Source organism: Homo sapiens, chromosome 2 (genome assembly GCF_000001405.40).
Source record: "Homo sapiens chromosome 2, GRCh38.p14 Primary Assembly".
Taxonomy (NCBI): domain Eukaryota; kingdom Metazoa; phylum Chordata; class Mammalia; order Primates; family Hominidae; genus Homo; species Homo sapiens.
Genome location: NC_000002.12, coordinates 45,804,647 through 45,829,484, shown reverse-complemented (window position 1 = coordinate 45,829,484; position 24,838 = coordinate 45,804,647). Strand labels below are relative to the sequence as shown.

The following is a 24,838-nucleotide window of genomic DNA, read 5'->3' as shown; positions in this document are numbered from 1 at the left end:
GGTTAATACAGACTTCCCCCTTTTCTCCTTTTCTGTAATTTATATGGGGTCTTAAGCAGGCAAAACCAAACCCAAACAAAAACCCCAAAACTCATTTTCTCCAGGACCACCTTGAATAGAAGCTCCAAAATATGTCATCTGAAGTACTATTATGCAGTACTTATGAGAATGGGGAAGAAACAAACACTATTATACGCTGCCGACGAAATGTAAATTGACACAAAATTTATAAAGAATGTTTTGGCCTTACATGACAAAAATCCTTTAATCTTGCAATTCCACTTCTGGGAATTTATCTCAAATCACACATATGTGAAAAGATTTAACTATAAGAATAATCATTACAGAATTTTTAAGAGTGTAATATTAGAAACCAATTGTTCAATAATAATAAAATTATTTAAATAAATTGTAGCATATTCAAACCATTAGCTACCATGCCATCATGAAAAAAAAAACTTGTTGAATTATATGTAATAACATGCAAAGATATTCACAATATTGTATTCAATGGGAGAAAATGAGATTATAAAGGAACATATATTCTATGATCCAATTTTGTAAAACTAAAATAAGTATGTGGTAGGTACATATGCTAAAGAAAAAGGTGTTTGTGGAATAGTGGAATAATTTTTTTCTTTTTAAGTATCTATAGTTTCTCAACTTTCTACTTTTCTTCTACCTTCTACTATAGCTTTTTTGTTAAAAATAAGTAATTTTTTGCTTTAAGAACATTATGTAGTTCACTCCTCTCATTTATAGGTAAGGAAACTGAGGCATAATGAGGTTAAACAATCCATTAAAGTACCTGAGTAAATTGCCTACAGCTGAAAAAAAGAAAAGAAAAGAAACTCAGTCATCCTGATTTTCAGTTCTTTAAGGTACAAATTAAAAATGAGACAAATTATTTTAAATTTTCATATATCTTGAAAAGTATAATTTCCTGGTCAAATAATTATAGCACTACTCTATCATAATCACCAATTCTGAGTGGTAAGTAGTCAAGTGTATTTCTTAGTTGGATACAGTTTGAACATATTAAGGAAAAGCTTCAATAGCTCAATAGATTTTTATTTTATTTTTTTGAGACGGAGTCTCGCTCTGTTGCCCAGACTCGAGAGCAGTGGTGCTACCTTGGCTCACTGCAACCTCCGCCTCCTGGCTTCAAGCAATTCTCCTGCCTCAGCTTCCCGAGTAGTTGGGATTATCAATAGAGTTTTCAACAGATTTTTAATCTAATTGAAAAATCCTTTGCTTTGATCGAATCTCCTCTATATGATGGTGTTCCTCCACTTTTGTGAGGTGAGGCAGTCCACATTTTTTATATTCCAGACAATGTTACCTTTTAACTACCTTTCATGTAACAAACTGTCATAACAGCAGACTTCATTGATCAGGAATGGGCAAACATTTCTGCTATGATATGACCATACAGTGCCTATCATCCAGCTATTCAGAGTCACTATCTTTGTATGTACAGGAATCTGCTGGAATATATTCTCCTATTTGTCTCGAGTTCTTTATAAGACAGGAAAAAAGAAAAAAAGAAAAATGCTGGTGCTCTAAGGAAACGAAGCATAAGTCTCAAATTTATATAACATAAAGTAAAACAGAATTTATTAGGTATGTCAAAGTCAGTGACATTTCCCTTTAATCCAATATTAATCAGTTGACTCTGTGTTGAATTTTGAAGGTATAAATCAAATTTTTAAGACTTTTAGATTTTATATCAAAACAATGAACAAGATGTAAATAAGAAGGAGGACATGATTTTCTGTTTTCTGGGATAGAACCTGCCTTAACATGTAATCTAATGGTGCACTAAACTGTCCAACTGGCTTTTATTCTGTAACTAAGTAATACATAAGTTTTGAAGTACAAATTATATATGGAAGCACGGACTATCTATTCTCTGAAAATGGGCAACTCTCCTTATACATCTGTGCTTGTTTTCTACATGATTTATGAAGTCCAGGCCTTTAAAAATGAACAATTCCGGCTCATACAGCTGGACAACAAATGAGACTCACATATGCTCAAGCCCACACCACGATCTGAACCACAAGGGAAGATATTTCCTGAAGCACACAGCAGAAAGGATCTGAAAACTGTTCAAGCTCTGAATGTCAGAATAGATCCTTCATTTATGATCTTCTATCCTAGATATTAGATTTCCATATGATATTTTGGTCAAACACACGTAAGAATTGTATCATCTTTGATCCAGGAAAGCCCTGATCATCGAAAAAGCCAGCCCGACTGGTGCAGAGAGAGGAGCAGATGCAAAGGCATGGAGGTAGGGGAAGACTTGGTCTTTGCCAGTAGTTGAAGCAGACGGGTGTGACTGGAGCAGAGTGTGGAGGGCAGTTGGAGATGAGGTCAGAGAGCCAGGGCCTGGCACGTGCTTTGGCTTTGGCCGTGAGTGAGATGGGAAGCCAGAGGAGAGACTGCAGAGCAGTGAGATGCTGTGACTCACACTTTAAAAGGTGGCTGCATGGAGAATAAACTTCAGGCACCCATGAGGACGCAGGAAGGCAACTTAGGAGCCTATGGCAATAGTCCAGACAAGTGATGATGGTGGCTGGGAAGGGGTGGTGGTAGTGGAGGTGATGGGAATTGGTCAGATTCTGAATGTAATTTGAAGATAGAGCCAAAAGGATTTGCTGCGGGATTGCACGTAGTGTGTGAGATAAGGAGGGGAGGCAGGGATTGCATGGAGACTTCTGGCCTGACCTAAACATGGAGCTGCCCTTGGCTGAACAGAAGACGGTGATCAGAACAGGGTGGGTGGGGTGAACAGGAGCAGGTTTGCACTGGCCATGTCGGAGACATCTGTGAGACAGCCGGGGACAGCTGCATCTACAGATCTGAAGTTCGGGGGGAAGGTCCAAGCTTAAGACCTGAATTTGGTAGTTGGCAGCAGATAGATGGCACTGACCCACAATCTGTGACCCACAATCCTGACAGCCACAGCTCTAAAAACTAAAAGTTTTATTGAAGTTTGGGTCAAAATTATTCAGCAATAAAACCTAACCCAAAATGACATAAGGCTATTTGCTGTCTATGTTTATTCTACTTCATGTGAATATTTGTACATTTGTGATATAGAAATATTATTTGTTTGATCACAAAGACCTGCCCCAGAATCTAGTGGGAATGTCATGTAACATACAGAATATTTACTATATTAACCTTCTAAAATTCCCCCAAATGCTTTATTTCTAAACAAATCTAGCCCTAAGCATTTTGGATAAAAGATATGGATCTGTAGTTTGAGCCATGAAACTAGAGGAATGAGGACTGACCCTGGAGCCCTCCAACACATTGAGACCAGGAGGGTGAGGAGGATCTGCTCCGGTGTCTGAAAATGCAAAGGCCTGACTTCTACTGCCCTGGGTGGGGTCTACTTTGACTTCTCTCCTTCCATACCATCACCACCAAACATGCACCCTCTTCACAGACACATGACTTATAAAAGCCCTGCTTCTGTTAACTTTCTGTATATCTTCTAAAGAGATGGCAAAAAAACCTAAGTCTATCATCCCCCCATCCCCCCGTCCCTGCCAAATATACACTGTGGGGTATGTTTTTGTTTTTGAAATAGGATCTTGCTCTGTTGCCCAGGCTGGAAAGCAGTGGTATGATCATAGCTCACTGCAGCTTCTAACTCCTGGGCTCAAGTGATCTTCCTGCCTCAGCCTCCCAAGTAGCTGGGACTACAGGTGCATGCCACCATGCCTGGCTAATTTTTTTTAACATACTTTGTAGAGATAGGGTCTCGCTACGTTACCCAGGCTGGTCTCGAACTCCTGGCTTCAAGCGATCCTCCTCTCTTGGCCTCCCAAAGCGCTGGGATTATAGGAGCAAGCTACTGGGCCCAGCTGCATACTGTAGTTTTTATTAAATCAGGTGTAACATTGATTTCATGCACCACTGAACTAACTGTCTGCACTTTTTGCAAAGTGAGGTTTGTGTGGTGGGGAAAAAAAAAGTAGGAAAACTGAACTAATGTTTCAAGTTGGCATAATGGCATTTCCTGTTGCTAAGAAACCTATCTGCCTGCTGCTGTTGCTCTAACACAGTTTGGTGTCCCACCCCTCACCGCTAAACACCTTAGCTCCGAAATTCTGTCAAGATACACTGGTGGGGGCTGCAGCAGGGCCCCCCCAAGTCCCAGGCCTGTTGCAGGAAAACCGTGGCTAGTGCCTAAACCTATTGCCCAAGGTGCTCTCTTACTTAGGCTGCAGAGCCACAAGTTCCCCACAAGGTGCAGCTCCTGTTTTAAGGTGAGACACAGAAAAGGGAGTAAGAGGATTAGAACCAAGGCCAGGCAAAGATGACACTGGCATAGCTGTTGTTATGAAGGCTACTAGTTCTACATTCATCCCCGGAGGAAAAAAGTAATGTGGAGTTGGCAAATTTGCTGAAATCTAAACAAAAAGGCAGTCTCATTTCTCAATCCATGTACCCCACCAGGCGAACCCACGTTCAGCAGAACCTTTTCCCGGTTCCCACCACCCAACCTCTCCAACCCCGTCTCCTGCCCTGACTGCAGCTTTCTTGGCCCAGAAAACCTCCACATCAACCAAAATTGTTGGCCCATTCAACTTCTAAGGGAGAAGAGAAAGAAGAGACAGGAAATCTCCATTAGAATTTCCCCCTTCATTCATAAACAGATAAGCAACACACAACAAATCAGAAAACTCACATAAAGGGAGGGGTGGCGATCATTAAATACCAACTGGAAAATTGCTCATGGGTCACAACTATTGAAACTGGGTGGTAGAGGCATGAGGGTCCATTATTCTGCTCTATTTTTGAATATGTTTGAAATTTTCCATAATAAAATAAAAAGAAAAGGAGGAGAAAAAGAAGGGAGGAAATGAGGGAGGGAGGGACGGAGGGAGGGAGGGAGGAAATGGTCAACTTAAGTAGCCCAACCGGACTGTTATCCAAAGGCTAATTCTAGGCTTTCTTGAAGAGCTCAATTGGGGAAGGGAGTCCTCCCCACCAGTCCAACCCAATGCCCTGCTGGGGACACAACACGCCCCGCTTAAGAGACTCCCCGAGCTGCTTCCCTGGTCCTCCTGTGTGGATATAGCAGGTGGTGGTGCTTTTAATGTTTTGTTCAGGATTCACAATGGTAAGGGCTTTGGAAAGAAAGGAGTTGATCACTTCATCCTTTCCTTTCTTCATAAAGATGTTTGCCCTGACTTCAAAGGCTGTCTGTTTACCTTAGATGATTGGAGAGGATTAATGGAACTAATTGTGTTAACAACAGAACAGTCCTGCTGAAGCCTGCAAATTATCCCTGATTCTCTTTGATTGCCTCAAGATTACCTCTCCACCAACAAACATAGTAAACTTGCATACAGCCATGCTGGGCTGTGCCCTCATAGAAAGCTGGGAGTGCAGTCAGCACTACACAGGATGGAACTGCAGCAGCCTGCAGGGTGTGTGACATAAGCCTGCCAACCTCCCTGCAGTGCCAAGGAAAGCCAGTGAGCCAGTGAGCACATCCTGTGAGTGCAATGCCCAGTCCATCTCAGCTGAGCCAGACGCCATATCCTTGCTCCTCCCAGGAGCTGCGAGCCTCTGGGCAGGCCTCTGCGAAAGCTCTGCCAGCACGGAACAGACCCAGTTGTCCAGAGCACATGCCTCTCAGATGCCTCTGTGGCTGCCAGCAGCAAAGCTGGACATGCCCTCAGAGGTGGAACTGGGCCCAGGGAACAACCTGGGAAATCAGCCAGAGGCACAGGTATGGAACACTGGAAGCTCTCTGTCCCAGGCAGATGGAAGCTGCTCTCCTAGGATGCCTACTGGTGGCATTTAAACCAAGAAGTTGGGAGTGCCTGCCACCATGGCCCACTCCTGGCTTCCTTTCTGCTCCCTACCCCCGACTTTCTTGCTGTGGAGTGACTATCTGGAGTGTAACACATCCCCTGGTACCCAATTAGTCAAGTAGAAGAAAATCCACCACTTACTTTCCTTGAAAGTCAAGTCACTCTCTGATTCTTTAATTCATTAATCTGTCAGTGAATGGCAGGTTTCCTGATTTAATGAGATCCAAAAGTTTCAATAGCCTGTCTGCGAAAGTAATTCAACAGCTCAGCTACTAGGGGTGAAATATTTTCCAACCAATTCCAGTTCCTTTTCATCCAGAAAGAGCAGAGGCTCAACGTTACTGCTGATAACTCTCATAGATCCAGGTGTGTCGTTTGAAGTAGCAGGAAGGCTGTGGTCCTCGAGGACAAACTTCTCAAGCCTTAAGAATCCCAGGCCTGGGAATCTATCCCAATATTCAAAGCCCTAGTGGAGTCCATTTCATTCCTTGACAAGTTTCCTGGAGCACACGGCTTGACAGCAAGGAACAACTTCAGTAGGAGCCCAGGCTCCTTGGGGACAGAGTCCATACCTCTTTGTTTCCCCTGGGCCTAGCATGGCACCTGGTCAATTGGGGTGGGAGTGGGGGTTTAACAGGAATTAATGACAAGGCAGTGACTAACAGAACCCAATCAAAAAATGAAATAGATCCATCACTTATCTGTGATTATATTTTGGCCATCCCATACCAATCGTATACCCTACAGTGGGAGAGAAGGGTAATTACTAATGAGAGTTTTGCATAAGGGAATCATTACTGAAATAAAAAGTTAAGAAGCAACTCTCCTTACAGAGACAGAAGGTTAAAAAGCAAGCACTCCTAACTAAGGCAGAAAAGAGAAATCTATAGAAAAGTCTTAGCAATGATGGAACTCACTCAGTGAGTGACACGGATTCGGACGTCTTGCCCCACAGCACCTCCAAAGGCACCCCAACCACCACTTAAATTGCCAAGCTGTTCTTAGTTACCCAGGTGGAAAGTGCAAATCCCATGGCACAAAGCTCTCTATGCCCAGAGTCATTACAGGGCACCCCAGCCCAGGCACAAGGAAGAGAGTGACTGTGCAGACTTGGGGATGGCTGGCAGTTACCCTTGTGTCCACATCCAGCAACAGACACATCTGCAGACAGCCACGACCCTGCAGGCAGGACCTGGGCCACCCCAGAGGGTTTGCACCCCCAGGCGCTGACCTCATCTGCTGGGGTTGCTTGTGGGTACACAATGTGGGCTGCTTTCTCATTTCTCCCAAGAGCCCACAGCACTTTTCTCCCGGGCTGGCTCAAGTTTCATCCTCCGTAAATCGGCTGCTGTTAAAATGCCATGGGGCCTTCCCTAAACTACAAAATACAAAATTACCATTCTCCCTTTTGGAGGTGACAGGAACATTTAGCTTCCCTGTCTCTGTGTGCCTTTGTACACACACAAATTTGATATCTACAAAAACTGATATGTGTGGACATTACACAACCATTTCTGAAAAGGTACACACAAATGACTCAGAAACAGAGTACCCTGGACAGGTGCCAGAACATTCTGCACCCTGCTCTCCCAGGCCCTTCAGCCGAAGCCGGCTACAGGTCCTCCCACGCCCCGCACCTCAGAGCTCCTCAGTCACTAAGCCCCCTCAAGCCCTTCACTGTAAGCTGCTGTGCCCACCCTTCGGTTCCATTCTCGTCCCTGGTGCCAATCCTCAGCCTCTAGCCTGACAGCTCCTAGGTCTTCCCTTACTCTCCTCAGCATGAATCCACCCAGCAGATAGAATCTCAATTAGCTGATCTACAATACAGCTGCCATCGGGACACTTCTTGCCCAAGCCTTCCCTCTGTCCCCAGGGTGACATTCATTTCCACAACACTGCAACCCACTTCTGTACTGTGGCCTGCATTCCAATCATACCTTATTTACCACCACCAGTGCCCAATGCTCAGGCCGGGCTCCCCTGGCCACCATCCTGCCCAAGTCCCCCGACACATGCCAGTCCCCAAATCAGCCTCATGCTGGGCTCCAAATACCTTCTTTCCTAGGGCACATCCTGACTCCTCAATCCTTCCTCCAGCAGTCTCCCTCTGAGACACCCCTTGGGCATTGAGGGTCAACTGGGTTGTCAGGAACTCTCTTCTCACCTGTACTACTAGTCCCCAGGTAGGTTCCACAGGTAGCCCTTCAGAGGTGTGGCCTGCTCTATACCTCCACCCCCACCATCCTCCTGGGCCCAGCAAAGGGTCCTACATTTAGAGGCTGCTCAATTCACATTTGTTGCTTGTGTCCACTCCAGGCTATGGTGGTCTGTCTCTTCCCTTAGAAACTCTAACTTAGGGGAGATAATTACCTCCACTTGTAAATATTCAATGTTGAGTAAAGTAACTCTAGACATAAATAATATTTTTAAATGCTGTCCCTCCTTTCCATCAATCACCAACTTCTAAATATTACAAAAAGGAAGTATGCCCACAGCCTGTGAGATAGGGTACAAGAGGCTTGAAGGGGTGAATTATCCCAGACTAGCCTTGGAAGTCCTGAACCAAGAGCCTCCTCCACCTCCCTACCCCAGGCTTGGCTCCCCTGACCCTTGGGGCTCAAATATGCTGGCTGTGTAATCTCTTGTATAAGGTGATTTGTCGCCAGACCCAAACAAGTTTTCTGGATGTGAGGGAGCTAGAGCTAGAACCTCATAAGATTGCAGTTTGTTGCCATGCTGGGGGGTGGGAAGGGGGTGGGGAGACAGAAGGCCAGGTGTCTTGCCTTGCTTCTGCCACTAAGGTCAACATGACCCAGGACAATCTCTTGGGGCCTCAACTGTAAACTCTTGCAGGGACAATGCAAAAATCTGCAACAACCATGCACCAAACAGAAAGTTGGGAATGATCGAGAACAACAAATGAAGACAGAGAAGCTTTCAGTTTGAAAACTTCAATTGCATTTGTGTCGGGAAACAAGACTCAAGGACAAAAGGCCTCCTAAGGACCTCACTTCCAAATAGCAAAGTTAAAAAATCTTCAACTCTGTGATTCCTGCTGTCACGAGTCATTTCTCTTGCTGACATTTAACATCCTTCAAAACCCAGCCCTGAAATTCCCAACTGTCTCCCACCCCCTTATGCCTCAGCCATATTGCCCTCCTACTATGCCAGGCCTTTCTCATTCTGCCCTTCCTTAGCACAGTTCATTCCTCCCAAACTCCCCCTCTCCCCCTCCAAATAAAATCTACCTACATTTTCAGGCCTACTTCCACCTCGAATCTATTACCCTCTCGATCCTGGAGTTCCCCACCAGGCAGGTCCACACCCGTATCCTTCTTGCTGGTCCCTGGAGATTACCCTCTCCCCACATGTTTCTCAAGTGCCTGGCAGTGTTCTATGTGTTCCAGGAGCACATAGAACATTTCTGGGCACTTAAAAGGTGCTTAATAAACTCTTGTTGGTTGAATGATGTAACACCAAGAAAAGCTGATGCGCCGTGATGTTTCCATTACCTTCGTCTGGAAAATCCCATTGAGGATTCGCCCCTTCAGTCCAACCCACTTAAAACATCCTCCTTTATTTTGCTCTGAGCTCATCTCAGTCCTGTAAAAGTACTGCAATCCCCACAGCAGTGATTACTCCCAACACCCCTTAAACTCACTGTTGCTTTTCAAAGAAACAGCCACCCCAGATCCATACATTAGGAATACAGTGGGCTGTGCAATGACACAGCCCCAAACCAGCTTGATGCGATTGTTTCCCTGTATTGTTGCTTCACTGTAGTCTTACTATTGTTCTTCATTTACCCAGACAGCTTTGTCTGAAGCTTTATATGAAAAATGAATATGATTGCTTTACATTCCACACTTCCCAGAGCACCACCATGGGTTTCAAAGCTCTAGTCGATGGCTCTCAAGGCTTTGAGTTGAACAGTTTCACACCACAGCTTGCTATACAGTGTCATCCAGGCTGGCCTCAGTCCTTTCACCTCCCACATCCCATCTGTAGTATGTGTGTGCTTCCATCCAATCACCTGGACTGTCCCCAGGCCCAGGAACGTGAAAAACCAGAAGGAACAACCAGTCAGTTTGGCAGGGAGCAAGGTGGAAGAGAATCATCCCTGAAACCACAGCCTTGAGCCTTGGAGGGACAGAACGGCCACTCAGCTGCAACTGAGGACAATGTGTCCTCTTGGGTCCATGCTATGGACCTTGACTCATAAACGTGGTGTTCTCCCTGACAGCCCCAGAGGAAAGGCAGCATTCTGAGCCAGATGGGTTCTCAAGACAAGAGCAAGATGGGTACCACATGGGATTGGGAGCCAGACTGCCTGGGCTCAGGCATCACTTAGCAGCTGTGTGACCTTGGGCAAACCCATTATTCCTTGTGTGCCTCACTCTTGATCTGCAAAGTGGGGACAAAGTACCTCCCTCACAGAATTGTTGTGAGGATCTGATGAGTTAATTTATATAAAATGCATAGAAACTATGCCTGACAGAGTAAATATTTACCATCAGCATCAGCAGCAGCATCTCCCTGGTTATTAATATACCTACTCCTCTCTGCTTTGTTTAGGGAGAAGAGCAAATGCCTCACTCTCAATACCAAGCTTCCTGTCTCAGGAGGCTCCACGCCCCAAATCCTTTTTCCTCCCTACCTCCTTTTAGTGCCTCTAACACTTCAAACATCACATCTCCATCTGAGCATTCAAAGCCTTCATACTGGGCTGTACTTCCTTTCTTCCCTCAGCAAACACCCTGGATTCTTGCAAGCTATTAGATACACTCGGTGGCAAATGCAAGAGTGTTTGCATAGGTTTTCGTCATTATCCATGTTTTGGAAACAGCCATGGTGAGTGCTGCGGCAGGGCAAAGGAGAAAACAAGGTATTAAAATGATCAAAAACAGGTCTCCACCTCCTCGTGTTAAAACTGCTGTGGTCACTCTCCCCCGAAGCCAGAGGCTCCTTTGAGTTTTCTGTTCTTCTGAATTCAAACTGCCAGCTCAAAGGGCTGGCCTAGGAAGGAGATAAGGCAGATGGGAAAAACTGAGGATGAAAGGAGGGTAGAAGGGTTGAATCTCAAAGTGTAAGTTGAACCCTTTAGATGTTCTCATTTAATAGCACAGTTTCTGAGAGACTTGCCCACCCAAGTCCCGTCCTTCCTAAGCAAACATCTGTTAGGATGATTGAGACCCAGGGTAGTTTATTCTTCCTTTGCTAAAACTTCCGGTGGGGTATTGATCTCATAAATGTTATCCTTATGGCTCAGAGGAAAGTCAAGTTTCAAATCCAGAGGGGTGTGGGGCAGCCAGTTCATCCATCTTCTGAAGCCAAAAAAGATAGAAATCTACAAGTCACAAGATTGATTTTTTGTTTACATCTTCAGTCCCAAATATTTGGAATGAACCTTTTGATGTACCAAAACATGTCTTGTGAATGCCAAAAAGTAAAAACAAAAACAGAACTTAAATTTCTATGTGGCACATGATACATTTTACCTTATGGACCAATTGATTGTGTAAAATGATTATGAAATTCCCCTTGCCTATCCCATGAAGGAGAAAAAGTCACAGAATCACAAATGTGCTACCCTCTTGTCTCAGGTCATACTCTAAGGATCGAAGTGATTTAAACTCTGCTCAGCTCCGGGGCTGAGAAGGACAAACTCCAGGGAGACTGAGCCTGGTCTGATGGTTACTGAAGCTGGAGGAAACTCGGCCTGTAGCTTGCCCAGACACTTTGAGAGCAGGCAGTGAGATGCCCACGTGGCTCCTCTCACCTTCAGAGGGCAGGCAGAGAGAGAGACCCAGATTTGCCTTAAAAGGCAGGATTCCACTCCCAGCTTCATTGTCACCCATCTATAGGGTGACTGCAGACAGGCCACTGAACCTAGCAAAGCCTCGGTGTCAGCAGAATCTCAGGATTGGAAAGTTTTTTTTTTGTTTTTTGAGACAGAGTCTCGCTCTGTTGCCCAGGCTGGAGTGCAGTGGCGTGATCTCGGCTCACTGCAAGCTCCGCTTTCCGGGTTCACGCCATTCTCCTGCCTCAGCCTCCTGAGTAGCTGGGACTACAGGCGCCCACCACCATGCCCGGCTGATTTTTTTGTATTTTTATTAGAGACGGGGTTTCACCGTGTTAGCCAGGATGGTCTCGATCTCCTGACCTCGTGATTCGCCCTCCTCAGCCTCCCAAAGTGATGGGATTACAAGCGTGAGCCACCGCGCCCAGCCGGAAAGTTTTTTTAAAGAAAGTATTTGATTCATGATAAGACTTAACTTTGAAGCTGATGATGAGTTTGTATAATTAAACAGGACTACCCTGATTTAAACTTCTAAAAATATAGATAAAGTAAAAATAAGTAAGATATTTGAAAGTTGGTACTTGATAAACTGTGAAGCCTGATTACACATCAACTGCAAAGCTCAATAAGAAATGAGCTGCTGCTATCATGACAAGGCCTAGGGTTGCAGGCAGGGCTGCAAAGCGTTGCCCAAAAGAGGTCGCTCCCCCTGGGGCATGTCCCTACCCACAACACACACACACACACACACACACACACACACACACACACACACTCTACTTACAGTATATAATTTGAGTCATTTCTTTACACAACGATCTCTTTGTCCCCAATGTTCTGTGTCTCTGTGGATGTTTAGTAACACCTACTGTTATTATAAGTTCACAATGGTAATTATAGAAAACATGTTTTTAATCATTTCATCCTCACAAAACCCCCGAGCAGGGGGTCTCTTTAAAAGAGCTGTACCAAAAGGAATTAAGCCGATCCCCTTGTTCACACCTAGGGCCAGCTCACCTCTAACAATTAGGGGGAGGGAGGATGGACAGGAATATCGAGGAGGTAACAGGGCAGTGAGAAGGCTGGGAAGGGGCCATCTGATCCATGGGGCTAGGGCCATGCAGGGTGGCGCTGGGGATACCCTGGTACAGGAATAGGCTGTGCAAGAGAGTGCACAGAGGAAAGGAAGATTGCTCCAAAGACAAAGCCCTGGCATAATGATCATAAAAATATGGCATGAATCTAAGGCTAAGGAAAGAAAACAAAACAAACAAAATCCAGGAGTTTCACAAGAAGTCTGGAGTCTGGCCAGTGCTAGATTGCCAGCTCCCTAGTTGACACAAAAAGGCACCTCTGGGTGTTAGGGATGGTGAGGTGCCAAGTTATCCACCCCTGCACTGTAGGGATGAAGCCCATGCTGTCTCATCCCCAGGAAAAACAATCACTGATGGCTTTCCCAGCTCCGGAGCACCAGGACACTCCAAAAACTTTAAACCTCGTGACACTCCAGGGGGTAGTGAACAAATATCATTCAGCCTGGTCATCTAGGATGAATTCTCCTTCTATATTCATAGCAGGGCTGAGCCCAGCAAAGAGGTAAGTAAAGCCCCTCAAGCAGATCCTGAAATCACTCTCACTGGGAAAGTCCACACATGAAACTTCTGTATGACGCAGTGCCAGGCCTTGATGACTGTAGGGATTTTGGTAGCTGTGATAAAAAGCAAACAGATAAATAAATACAAGCATAAGTAAAGTTGTGCCTTTCCAGTACTCTTTACAGGCCAAGAGAAAATGGTTAAATGAGAGCCCCAAATGTACTTGGGATGTGTCTTGCATTAATCGCCATAAAGGTACCATCAACACTCTTGGCTTCTCATTTGTAGCTCTTGGCATTCACACTCTTCAGCCCAGGGCTGGCATGGGATTTGTGGAATGGATACCAGTGCTCCCACTTAACAGGTGAGAAACTGGGACTTGAGGATGACACCCAAGGTCACCTAACTGGAAGGCAGCTGAGGCAGAACTAGAATCTACTAGTTCTAAAAGGAGGAGTTACTAGAAGTAGTGATTTTCCACTCTAGATCCATGTCATTCCTCAACAACCTCCCTAGTTATTCCTTACAAATAAGATATAGAAAGTAGTATAGTTGCTGGGATATTCTATCCATAAAACATCTCCCTGCATGGAGTCTGGCTACAAACACCTGGTTGTTTACATTTGCCTGAGGGATTTGTACTTAGGCTATCTTCCACTGCAAAGTGACTGGTCAGGAAGTGCTTCTTGGGCACTTGTTTACTGAGATCTAATGGAGGGGACCGAGGAAGAAAAAGACAAAGCACCTAGGGATTGGAACCTGACAGGAGACAACCAATTGCAAACTAAGAATAGGGGAATGTAGGACACAATCAGGGGAGAGAATGGCGTAGGCTGGGGCAGTCTGGGAATGCACCCCCTCAGCTTCTGAGGAGAACAAAGGATTCAGAATCCTCTGGCATCACTGCCTGCTACACTTGCAGCTCAAAGAACATACTGCTTTCTTTAGGTTCTAGAACTAACACTTTGTCAAATTATTTCTGGATAAACATTGTAAAAAAAAATTATTTTCTTGACCCTGAACCACTGAAGAGAGACCAAAGAAGGGGGGTAACTGGTGTATCAAATTTCCTGCATAATCCTCTTATGAGATTAGTGCCTTCTTAAATGGTAATGAGGTTCTGGCTTGGGGACTAAATTATGCCACAGGGTAATTCTCCCATGGGGAGGATGCTTAATTCTATCACACAGGGTGGGAACAGAGACCTCTGATCTCCTGCTGTAAATGAGTGAGCTGAAGCCATCTCCAACCAGGAACATGGAGCTTTGGAGCAGAAAGGAACTTAGAGAACACCCAAACCAACACCTTGTTGGTTTTTGGAGAAGTCACATTGCCACAGCCTCCAAAGCACGGGACCCTTCTTGGGTCTCTTCTCCTAATAAGGGCTCATCAGGACAACTGCAGCCTGTGGCTAAGGTGCTATGAAAACTCCCCTCCCTCCTCCCTCCAGAGAGGATGAAGTACTCTACAAGACACTGTCCAGAGCTAGGACATGTCAGCAACTCTGTTGCACCAAATATTCTTGGCACCCAACCTGAATGTGCCTGAGGTCTAAAAGAATCAAGATGCCTGGCTCACACCCCCGAATAGCACAGACCCCAGGAGAATTGGTGCTCCTCGTTTTCTTCCAGATCGGTGGTGATGAGGGAGTATCCCATCCCTCCTTTTCCATGTACAAGTACATATTTTGTCCATGAGTTTTATTTGCCTTCCTGGTTTTCAGCATAAAAGATTTCTAAAATCCCTCTGGAGGAGGAGTGAACTCAGCCCCCAGCAGTGTTGCCAGGGATGAAACCAGAGATCAGGACAGAGGTAAGGCTCTGACCTCCAGCTGCAATCAGCAAACCACTGCCTTCCAGGCAGGGAGCACTTCTGCAGAGCCCCCGACGACCCTTGGCTGCGAGGCAAGGGTATCGGGGCATCCAATTACTCAGGTCTGAGATTCTCTAGGAAAATGGCTCCTTATCATTCTTGATGGGCTGCACTGATCAAATCCGTCAAGTTTGCCACTTCCAATCTATAGCTCTGGCTTCAAAATTTTTCTCAACCTGGCACCAAAGTCACACTTTGGTCCCGGTCATGGCAAGACTCATCACAGTGGCAGGAGAGTAGTCACCCTCTTCACTATTCCAGTTTGAAACTCACCTAGCCAAATCCCTCTTTTTCTCAGCATCATTCCCCTCTGTGCGGGAGGGGGAGGGGGGACCGGAGGTGGGGGCTTCTCTGATGTCCTGCCCACCTTGGTAAGGTCAATTTATGAGATTCATGTTGATTATACACTGATGATACTCACTTATGAATTTACTGCACGTGTCTTGGAGGTTTAGCTTTCACAAGTATTCAGCTAATCTCAGCTGTATTTATACCGTAACAGAAGAGAACAGATGCAATCTGGAACACATGCCCTGTGGGCTGTGTTGGGCACTTTACATCAGCTCAACGATTCCTGACAAATGCTCCACTGGGTCATTTCCATTTCACAGAGGAGAATTCACAACAGGCCACAATTTAGACCCTGCTCGGTCTGTCTGTGTTCTTTTTTCTTGCTGTACTGCCTGGCCTCCAGGGCCTGGGCTCTGAAGTCCTGTATGCTGGAAGTGGCTTGATTCAAGTCGCTGGGTGACCTCCTTGCACCTCTCTGGACCTCAATTTTCTCTTTTGTGAAAGACGAGGGTTGTCTCCCAAGGTTCCTTCCAGCTCTCAACTCTCATGTCCCACATGGTGTCTGCCAGGGAGCTGGGCACGTGGCCAGAAGGAAAGGGGATAACAAACTACAGCCCCCGTCTGCACTCCTGTCTCCTCTCTGCTCAGGAATAAGCCCCTTCCTTAGCACTGCATCTGCTTCACACTGAGTCACTGAGGAAGAGGGATCTGCCTCTAGCCATTAACCCCAGCATGCCCTTTCCTGCTAATGCAGTCAGGGAGTCATTTCAAGGCCCTTCTTTTGAAAATGACCCATGGCCAACAAGGTCCCCGCAGAATGAAGCCAAATAGCCCATCCCAGGCCCTTGGAGGCAGCTGCACTTCTGAATCCAGTTAGATAAGTGCCTCAGGAAGGTGTAATGGCTTCCTGGCTGGTGATTAGCGCACTGGATGAGATCATGCAGAATTCCCTGCAGTTTTGCCTCCTGGAACTGGATGCCAAAAGCGGATTCTCTCCATCCCAAACAAAGCTCATTCCTGGGCCGCCAGCGGGGCCAGGAAACCCCAGAGATAGAATTTTCAATAGCCATTTTCTTCCAATTCGTGTCTTTTGTGTTTTTCACAGCCAAGCTAAAAACTTTAAGGTACTTCTTAACCTGTCAAAGCTTTAAAAAATTCAAACATGTCCACTCCATATATAAACATTTTCCTGGCGGACTATTATTTTTGCTAATGTGTGTTGTTTCACATGAGTCTTTCCTCAACTAGATTTTAAGTGATGCAAGAGCAGAGAACAATGCTATCAATTCTACTTCTATTCTTACCACCACCACTACTGCTATGGGATCCAGTCCCTGCCGGGTGCTTTAAAATCAACAGCACATTTAAGGGTCCTAACCTACTAAAGTAGATACCACTGTTACCATTTCACAGCATTTACTAATACTATGGGCCAGGCACGGGCGTAATAAGTGTTTTACGTCTGTTAGCTAATTTAATCCTCATCACAAGCTTGTGAAGTGGATACTAATATTACTCCCACTGCACAGAGGAGGTCACTGAGACACAGAAGGGCCCAAGGGCACACAGAATGTAAGATGGGAAGCCAGCACTCCTGGAGTTTCTTGTCTTCACCATCACATTCTGCTGCCTTCTATGGGATCCCCTGCACAGGGCTTGACTCACACCAATGCTCCGTAAGTACTTGTTTTGCTGGGTAACAGTTCAACAGTTCCCTCCTTAGGCTTCATGTTTCAAACAGCCTTTCTGCTGCCTAGGATAGAATTTCCCGTACAAGATCTGTGGCTTCTCACTCCATGGGCCATAATAATCCCTTACATTTGAGCGATGCTTTACATTTTTCACAAGTGCTGACAAATTACCTCCCCTCCAAACATAAATCTTGAAAATGATCCTGTTAGGTAAGTAGAACAAGTGTAGTGAAGCCTGTTTCACAGATGCAGATCTTTACTCAGAGAGGTGGGGTGACTCACCCAAAGTCATACTGCTCATCAGGGTTGAGCTGAGGCTAAAACCCAGGTTTCTTAACTCTTGGTTCCCTCTTCTTCCCACTTAAGAAGAGATGACTACAGACAGTGCCAAGAGTATTCCCCTGCGGTGGAATCCCCTAGCAAGAATGAATGAATGGATTAATGAGTAAATAAATACATGGGAGGGGTGTGTGTGTCTGTGTGTACGCATGGAGGTATAAACATCTATAACAGCTAGCATAATTTTACAATTTTTATTTAATATTAAAAATATTTTAAGGCTTTAAAATAATATTAAATCCAAGTGGTTTGAAATTCAAGAATCTCAGAAAGATATGCAGTGGGATGACTCCCTATCATCTGTTCTTATTCTAGGGTTCCAGTTTCTCCAAGGTTCCCACTTCTCCCCATAATTGGGGAACATCTTGAAACTATTTATAAACATTACCCTTTTCCCGGCCTCAGATCAACTTCAGTGTTTTTTAGAGCCATACATAGATGGTGACTTTTATTTTATCCTATTGATAATAGGTAACATGAACATGGTACAAATTCAAAAAGAATAAGAAAAATTACAACGCAGGGTGAGTCAGCCTCCCTCTTTTGTCTGGCCCCTAGTCATCCAGAGACCATTCGTCCTTTCTATTATTCCTTTAATAAGAATCTATGGATTCACAAACATATTCATAATTTTTTTCCAGCTCAAACAGTACTCTGTTATACACACTCTCCTGCATGCTTATTTTCACTGAACGCTGTATCTTGGAGACCATTCTAACAGTACTTAGGCAGCTGCCTCCTTCTTTGAGTGGCTACATAATGTTCCATTGCATGGACATACCACAGATTATCTGATGGACCCTTGGTGGCCTCTCATTGCTTGCTATTAAGAGCAATGCTACAGCAGGAACTAGAGATGATGGCTGAGGCTGAGGCTGCTAGTTCCTGGCAATATCTGTATTCCCCTTCTCCTGTACAACAGAATTTTATAAAGAACACATTCCCCAACCTCCCTTGTAACTAGGTGTGACCATGTGACTAAATCTCGCCATAGGATACAAACAAATGTATATGTGACAGTTTTCAGGAACTTTCCGTAAGAGAAAGCAAATATACTCCCTTAACACTCTCCATTATCACCTCGTCAGGAAAAATTGTGAAAGACTTTGAAATGGACAAAAATGATGATTGGGTATCGAGTCTAGAGGACACTTCTGTGTTATCTCAGACTTTCATTGTCTTGGAGCCATTTTATCATTCTGTGAGTGAACAAATACTGTTAATAATACGAATGTGCCCTACTATAAAATTGCAAGCCTAGGCAACAAAGTTAGATTTTGTCTCTACAAAATAATAAAAAATATTAGCTAAGCATGATGGTGCATGCCTGTAGTCCCAGCTACTTAGGAGGCTGAGGCAGGAGGATCACTTGAGCCTGGGAAGTGGAGGCTGCAATGAGCCGAGATTCTGCCACTGTACTCCAGCCTGGGCAACAGGGTGAGACCCTGTCCTCCCCAAAACATTGCAAATGATGTCCAATGGAGATGAAGTTAACATTGCAGTGGAATATTCGTTCATTGTGCAGCTAATTATAGGCTCACCTCAGCATTCTTGGTGGCATCTATGTGTATATATATTTAGTCCTTCTTTGAACCAGCTATAACATCTTACTGGTTCCCTCATTAATTAATTAGTTAAATAAAATCTTTGCCATGTGCAAAGATAATATTTGTTTCATAGTCAAGAGTTCATCTTTTTAAAAAGTTATCCTTTGGCTGGGCGCGGTGGTTCACGCCTGTAATCCCAGCACTTTGGGAGGCCGAGGCGGGTGGATCACCTGAGGTCAGGAGTTCAAGACCAGCCTGGCCAACATGGTGAAACCCCGTCTCTACTAAAAATACAAAAATTAGCCGGGCATGGTGGTAGGCACCTGTAATCCCAGCTACTCAGGAGGCTGAGGCAGGAGAATCGCTTGAACCTGGGAGGCGGAGGTTGCAGTGAGCTGAGATCGCACCATTGCACTCCAGCCTGGGGGACAAGAGCGAGACTTCATCTCAAAAAAAGTTATCCTTTAAACATCCTTCTCTCTATCCTGCTGCCTGGAATAGAGGTGCCATCATCTTGAAGAATAGGATTGAAACTGCCTCTAGATAAAGGAGCCTAGGTGACCTTTATCTGTGATTTTGGAGAGCCATGCCCTCCTTGGGCTTGTACCCAGACTTTTTTTTTTTTTGAGATGGAGTCTCACTCTTGTTGCCCAGGCTGGAGTGCAATAGTGCGATCTTGGCTCACCGCAACCTCTGCCTCCTGGGTTCAAGCAATCCTCCTGCCTCAGGCTCTCGAGTAGCTGGGATTACAGGCATGCACCACCACGCCTGGCTAATTTTTTTTTTTTTGAGACAGGGTTTCACCATGTTGGCCAGGCTGGTCTCAAACTCCTGACCTCAGGTGATCCGCCCACCTCAGCCTTCCGAAGGGCTGGGATTACAGGCATGAGCCACCGTGCCCGACCGTACCCAGACTTTCATGTGTGAGAAAAAAAAACACATTTATCTTCTTTAAGTCGCTATTATTGGAGGCTTTCTGTTACAGTCAAATCTAACAATGAAACGACTTCAAGAGAAATTTTTACTAATAGAATATGTAGTGATTTCATCTTTGCACAGCTGCAAATTCTCCTTTTTACTGTTCTTGGCAGACATCATTAATCAGTCATCAAGCTTTTTTGCCCCAGAGCCCTTACTCAAAATGCTTCTCAAGGTCACATTCTAGGTGGCCATTAGTATCAAAAAGAGTTATGAATGACGCTTAATTACCATTCCTGCTACAGGATAACAAATCAGCACAAGTTTCTCAGTTGTCCAGGTTCTAATGCAAACTTATTTATTTATACCCCTCTTGTTCCTGGGAGGATTTAGGGCAGCAAATTATAGGGACCTGTATGAATGCCTATAGAGTTCCAGGACTAGAAGGGGGCCCTAGTCTAGATGACCAGTCCCATCAGGCTAGAATGCACCAAGCCCAAGGCCCTTCCCTTCAGTGAGCTTCCTCACCGGCCCATACCCATAGAAATCACAGAAGGGACACACCACCAGGGTAGACGAGGACTCTCAGGTTCAGGATTCTGGGCAGATTAGAGCCGGGTACAGTAGTAATTTAGGAAGAGGGCAACAGGAGGGAGTAGGATATATGAGGAGACCCCCCAAACTATAGCTCTGTTCATGCCCATCCCAGGTATTGTTGGAGAACAAGCACTAAGCTAGGAATAAGAGGAACCAGCATCCCCTCCCGCTAACTGGTAGTCTCACTGAGCAAGGCACTCTCCCTCACTGGGCCTCAGATTCCCCATCTGAGACTGGACTAACCAATTTCCAGTCCTAAGATTATATACTTCTAGAACAAAACAATCTCAGCAGCCTTGAGAGCATCTTCAGCTCAGCAGGGTCACGTGCAGAGACAGCCCTCCCACCACCCAACCCAGTGCCAGACGGTAGGGGGCTCCGATCCTGGCAGCTCCCTGGCAGATAGCTCAAGTGACAATGGGAAGGGCTGGCACCATCAGTGACTTTGGCATTCTCCAGACGGTACACAAACAGGAAGCCAGGGAGGAGTGATAATTGTTTAATCAGCACTCCAGCAACACCTGTTGAGTTTCCTCCAATGATGTGAAAAGTTGGGCATCTAGGGAATAACACTTTTTTATGGTTGTTAGTGTTGATCATGATGTACCATCAAAAATGACAGGAACAATATTCCCTGGGCAATTTTCCACAGTTCTTTTTCTCCAACCTCCAAACCTACAATTGTCAATTCATCACCTAGGTATATACTGAGTGTCTACCATGTGCCCTACTCCAGTGCTCATAATGGTAAAACACACGTTGAATGTTAAAGGGGAAGCAAAGAACTGGTTGGTGCTTGCCAACCAGACACTTATAACTCTGGCTTGGGGGAAAAGACCAGTTAACTGCCAATAAAAGTGGCAGTGTGAGGCTCAGGTGGTGAGGGTTACAGATGGTCAGAGAGGGAGTGACCACTATGCGCTACCATGATCAGCAACAGTCTGGGAGCGCTGAAATCTGTGGGCAGCCTTGGAGGATGAGTGGGCTTCCAGTGATAGTCCAGATGCAGGGGGTGGCACAGCAAGGGAGGGAGAGTAGAAATACCCTTCGAATTTTCAAAAGGGAGACCAGTCTGGCTGGACCAGGAAATGTGTGTCAAGCAGCAGGGGGAGAGAAAGTAGAAATCGGGTGGGGCAGGGGCTGGAGCTATCAAACTTGAGCTCACAGCAGGATCACCTGGAGGGCTTGGTAAAGCAGAGATTGCTGGGCTCCATTGGCAGCTCCTGACTCAGGAGGTCTGAGATGGGGGTCTCAGAATTTGCATTTCTAACAAGTTTCCAGGTGAGGCTGATGCTGCTGGTGCAGAGTTCTGGCTTTGAGAACCACTCAGCTAGACTGTTAGCCATGAATGTTGGGCAGGTGGGAGCTCTGGGAGACCTTGCCTCGACTAAATGGAAACGGAGTGGAAGTCATGATTTGTCTGGAGGAATGATTTGCACTCTGCTCGTCTCCATTTCTACAAATGGCTTTTCTGTACCCTTTGCTGTTTTCTAGTTTTGGGTAAATGGGATTAGGAGACACCAACCACTAGCTGTCACATCTATTCATAGCCCCACTTCTCATTTCTGTGTGAAACACATCGCCTTTTGAGAGAAATTAGCAGCCATGATTCTGGGCCATCAGCAAAGACCAGAAGACACTGTCCAGTTGGAGGTTTCATCTTCTTTAAAAATGCCAAGTGTGAGAAGCCCATCTTTGATCATTCCACTGTTATGTGTGAGCATCCGCCATGTGCTAGGCACTATGCTTCACACTTTATGTATATTACCTCTTTACAGCAACATTGCAAGATAGCGATTATTATCCCCATTTTACAGATGAAAAAACTGAGGCTGAGACCAGTTACATGGCTTGCTCAAGATCACACCTCTAACAAAAGGCAGAGCCAGTATTCAACACCAAGGCCTATCTGCTCCCCAGCCCGTGCCAGCCCTGAATCCCACAGCCTGTCCTGTTCTATCTATCCAGACCTGCAGAAAGCTCTTGGAAGCAGCTTCAGCATAGTCTCATCAGCCTCCTGAGGTCTACCCACAGTGGCTCTCTAGGCAAAACATCCTCAGGGGCCCAACTATTTAAAGAAGCCTCACAGAAGCTCTAAGCAGCAAGCCCGGACCCTACCTTCCCAGGCCCATGGGATCTCAGAGCTTCCCCAGCCTTCCCCTCCTTAGTCCCTGACGTACATGGTATCTCCCTGCACACTCATTTCCTCACCCACCCCGGGGTCCTCCCTCATCTGTACTCATCCTGAGAACAATTAAGGGTAAAGAATCCAGCGACCTAAGTGAAATAAGCTGATCACAAAAGGACATGTACTGTATGATCCACTTACACGAGGTCCTACAGTAGTCACATTCATAGAGACAGAAAGTAGAAGGGTGGTTGCCTGTGCTTATGAGGAGAGGGGAATGGGGGTTGCTGTTTAAAGAGACAGTTACGGTTCTACAAGATGAAAAGAGTTTTGTGGATAGATGGTGGTGATGGCTGCACAACAATGTGAACGGACTTAATGCCGCTGATCTGTGCACTTAAAAACGAGTAAGATGTTCAGTTTTATGTGTATTTTGCCACAACTTCTAAAATAAACAAACTAATTAAACAAATGAATAAATGAATCAAGTGAAAGAAGAGAAGTCAATCTCTGAGTCCCTGCTTGGGGAGCGGGTGGGTTAAGGGCAGCACCATTGACATGCATATCATGGACCAGCAAAGCTGTAAATCACATCTCCTGCTCACAAGCCTTCTCACACACATGGGACCCTTTGGTTCACGTGCCAGCCAGGATTCCCGAAGCAAATTCCTTCTATAATCTTCATTCTCAAGGATGTAGATGTAGATTAAGAACTTTCCCCTTGAAGGTTGGGATGAGCGCCCCAGTATCCCCTCCTCCAATATCCCAGGCAACTAAAACTCTGCATCAAAATCCTGGAGCTCATTCAGCAAGGATGTATTGAGTTAGACAGTGGGGAGCTCAAGAGCATGGACACAGAAACAGTAGATGGCTGTGAGACCTTGGGCAAGCTCCTTGACCTCTCTGAAGGTCATTTCTTTCTGTGTAAAACAGGAGAGTTGTGATAGGATAAAGAAGGTAATGTAGGCTGGGTGCGGTGGCTCACGCCTGTAATCCCAGCACTTTGGGAGGCCAAGGAGGGAGGATCACTTGAGGCCAGGGGTTCAAGACCAGCCTGGCCATCATGGTGAAACCCTGTCTCTACTAAAAATACAAAAGAATTGGCCGGGCACGGTGGCAGGTGCCTGTAATCCCAGCTACTTGGGTGGCTGAGGCAGGAGAATCACTTTAACCCGGGAGGCGGAGGTTGCAGTGGGCCAAGACCACACCACTGCACTCCAGCCTGGGCAACAAGAATGAAACTCTGTCTAACAAAAAAAAAAAAAAAGAGGAAGGTAATGTATGCAAATACTTAGCATAAGCTTCAATAAGTGAACTTTCTTCAAAAATCTTTAATTCCCAGGGTGTGCACTGTAGGACCCACACCTGTCCTCTGGGAGTCATGGCCTAGAGAGTCACACAAGTAAAGAGTGGCACAAGTAAACAATATCACAGCATCCTTTGTGTGTGGGCACGAACGCTGAGAAGGAACACTGAACCAAACCAATAAGGCAGGACTCATCTATAATTGTGTGATGACCCCTCACCAGGCTCCAAACTTAAAAGGCCTTATGTGTAGTGGCTAGGAGCACAAAATCATGCTGTCCAACTGGGTTTGAGTCCAGCTATACAATCTTGGGCAAGTTATTTACCCTCTCTATGGCTCTGTTTTCTCATCTGTAAGATAGGAATCGTAGTAATAGTGTCTAACCCACAGGGTTTCTGTAAAGATTAGATAAATTAGTGCTCAGAACAGTATCTAAAAAGAAGAAGACAGTTATGACTTAGCTATTCTAATTATTGAATCTTTGACTTGTCTTTTATATTTCCTTTCCTTGGCTTCCATATATCCAGCCTCATTCTAGAAAGGTTTTCTAGAACAGTCATCTCTTCTAGCATAAAACAGAACATAGAGCAAATGCAAAAAAAAAAAAAAAAAGTTGATGAGTTTAGCTGAACAAAGTCTTTAAAAGGCTTAAAACAAAATCCTGTCCCAAAGAAACAAATAGGAAAGGCTTTTGAAACAATCAAATTTGATTCCTGGTTGGCCTTCCTATACTAATTTGCCTTAATCTCTGATTTCCAACATCCATACATCAACACTGCCAAGCCGACTGCCAGTAATGTTAAGTCCCTCAGCCTCCAAATTTACTGGGTGACTGGGGAGAACGAACAGCAACCTCTCCTCTTTCTCAATTATAGTTGAATTGTTTTCTGAGTGGAACCATGTTCCTTCCC

General features: G+C 45.3%; 1 protein-coding gene across 19 annotated transcripts in view, besides 4 other annotated features; it reads right to left on the bottom strand.

Annotated features, from left to right (window-relative positions):
* The window catches only part of PRKCE (protein kinase C epsilon), a 536,712-nt gene that overhangs the window by 358,506 nt on the left and 153,368 nt on the right, over nucleotides 1-24,838 (bottom strand). The gene's annotated exons all lie outside the window — the stretch shown is intronic.
* Nucleotides 5,077-5,598: an enhancer, noted in NCBI's record as "H3K27ac-H3K4me1 hESC enhancer chr2:46051026-46051547 (GRCh37/hg19 assembly coordinates)". NCBI's record gives its function as "activates a minimal SCP1, AML or CMV promoter by ChIP-STARR-seq in naive H9 embryonic stem cells {active_cell/tissue: H9 hESC(naive)}" and the evidence as "EXISTENCE:reporter gene assay evidence [ECO:0000049][PMID:30033119]".
* Nucleotides 5,599-6,121: an enhancer, noted in NCBI's record as "H3K27ac-H3K4me1 hESC enhancer chr2:46050503-46051025 (GRCh37/hg19 assembly coordinates)". NCBI's record gives its function as "activates a minimal SCP1, AML or CMV promoter by ChIP-STARR-seq in naive H9 embryonic stem cells {active_cell/tissue: H9 hESC(naive)}" and the evidence as "EXISTENCE:reporter gene assay evidence [ECO:0000049][PMID:30033119]".
* Nucleotides 7,221-7,515: a silencer, noted in NCBI's record as "tiled region #10855; HepG2 Repressive DNase matched - State 8:EnhW". NCBI's record gives its function as "represses a minimal TATA promoter and a strong SV40 promoter by Sharpr-MPRA in HepG2 cells {active_cell/tissue: HepG2}" and the evidence as "EXISTENCE:reporter gene assay evidence [ECO:0000049][PMID:27701403]".
* Nucleotides 22,433-22,522: an enhancer, noted in NCBI's record as "active region_15692". NCBI's record gives its function as "activates an Ori minimal core promoter by ATAC-STARR-seq in GM12878 lymphoblastoid cells {active_cell/tissue: GM12878}" and the evidence as "EXISTENCE:reporter gene assay evidence [ECO:0000049][PMID:35858748]".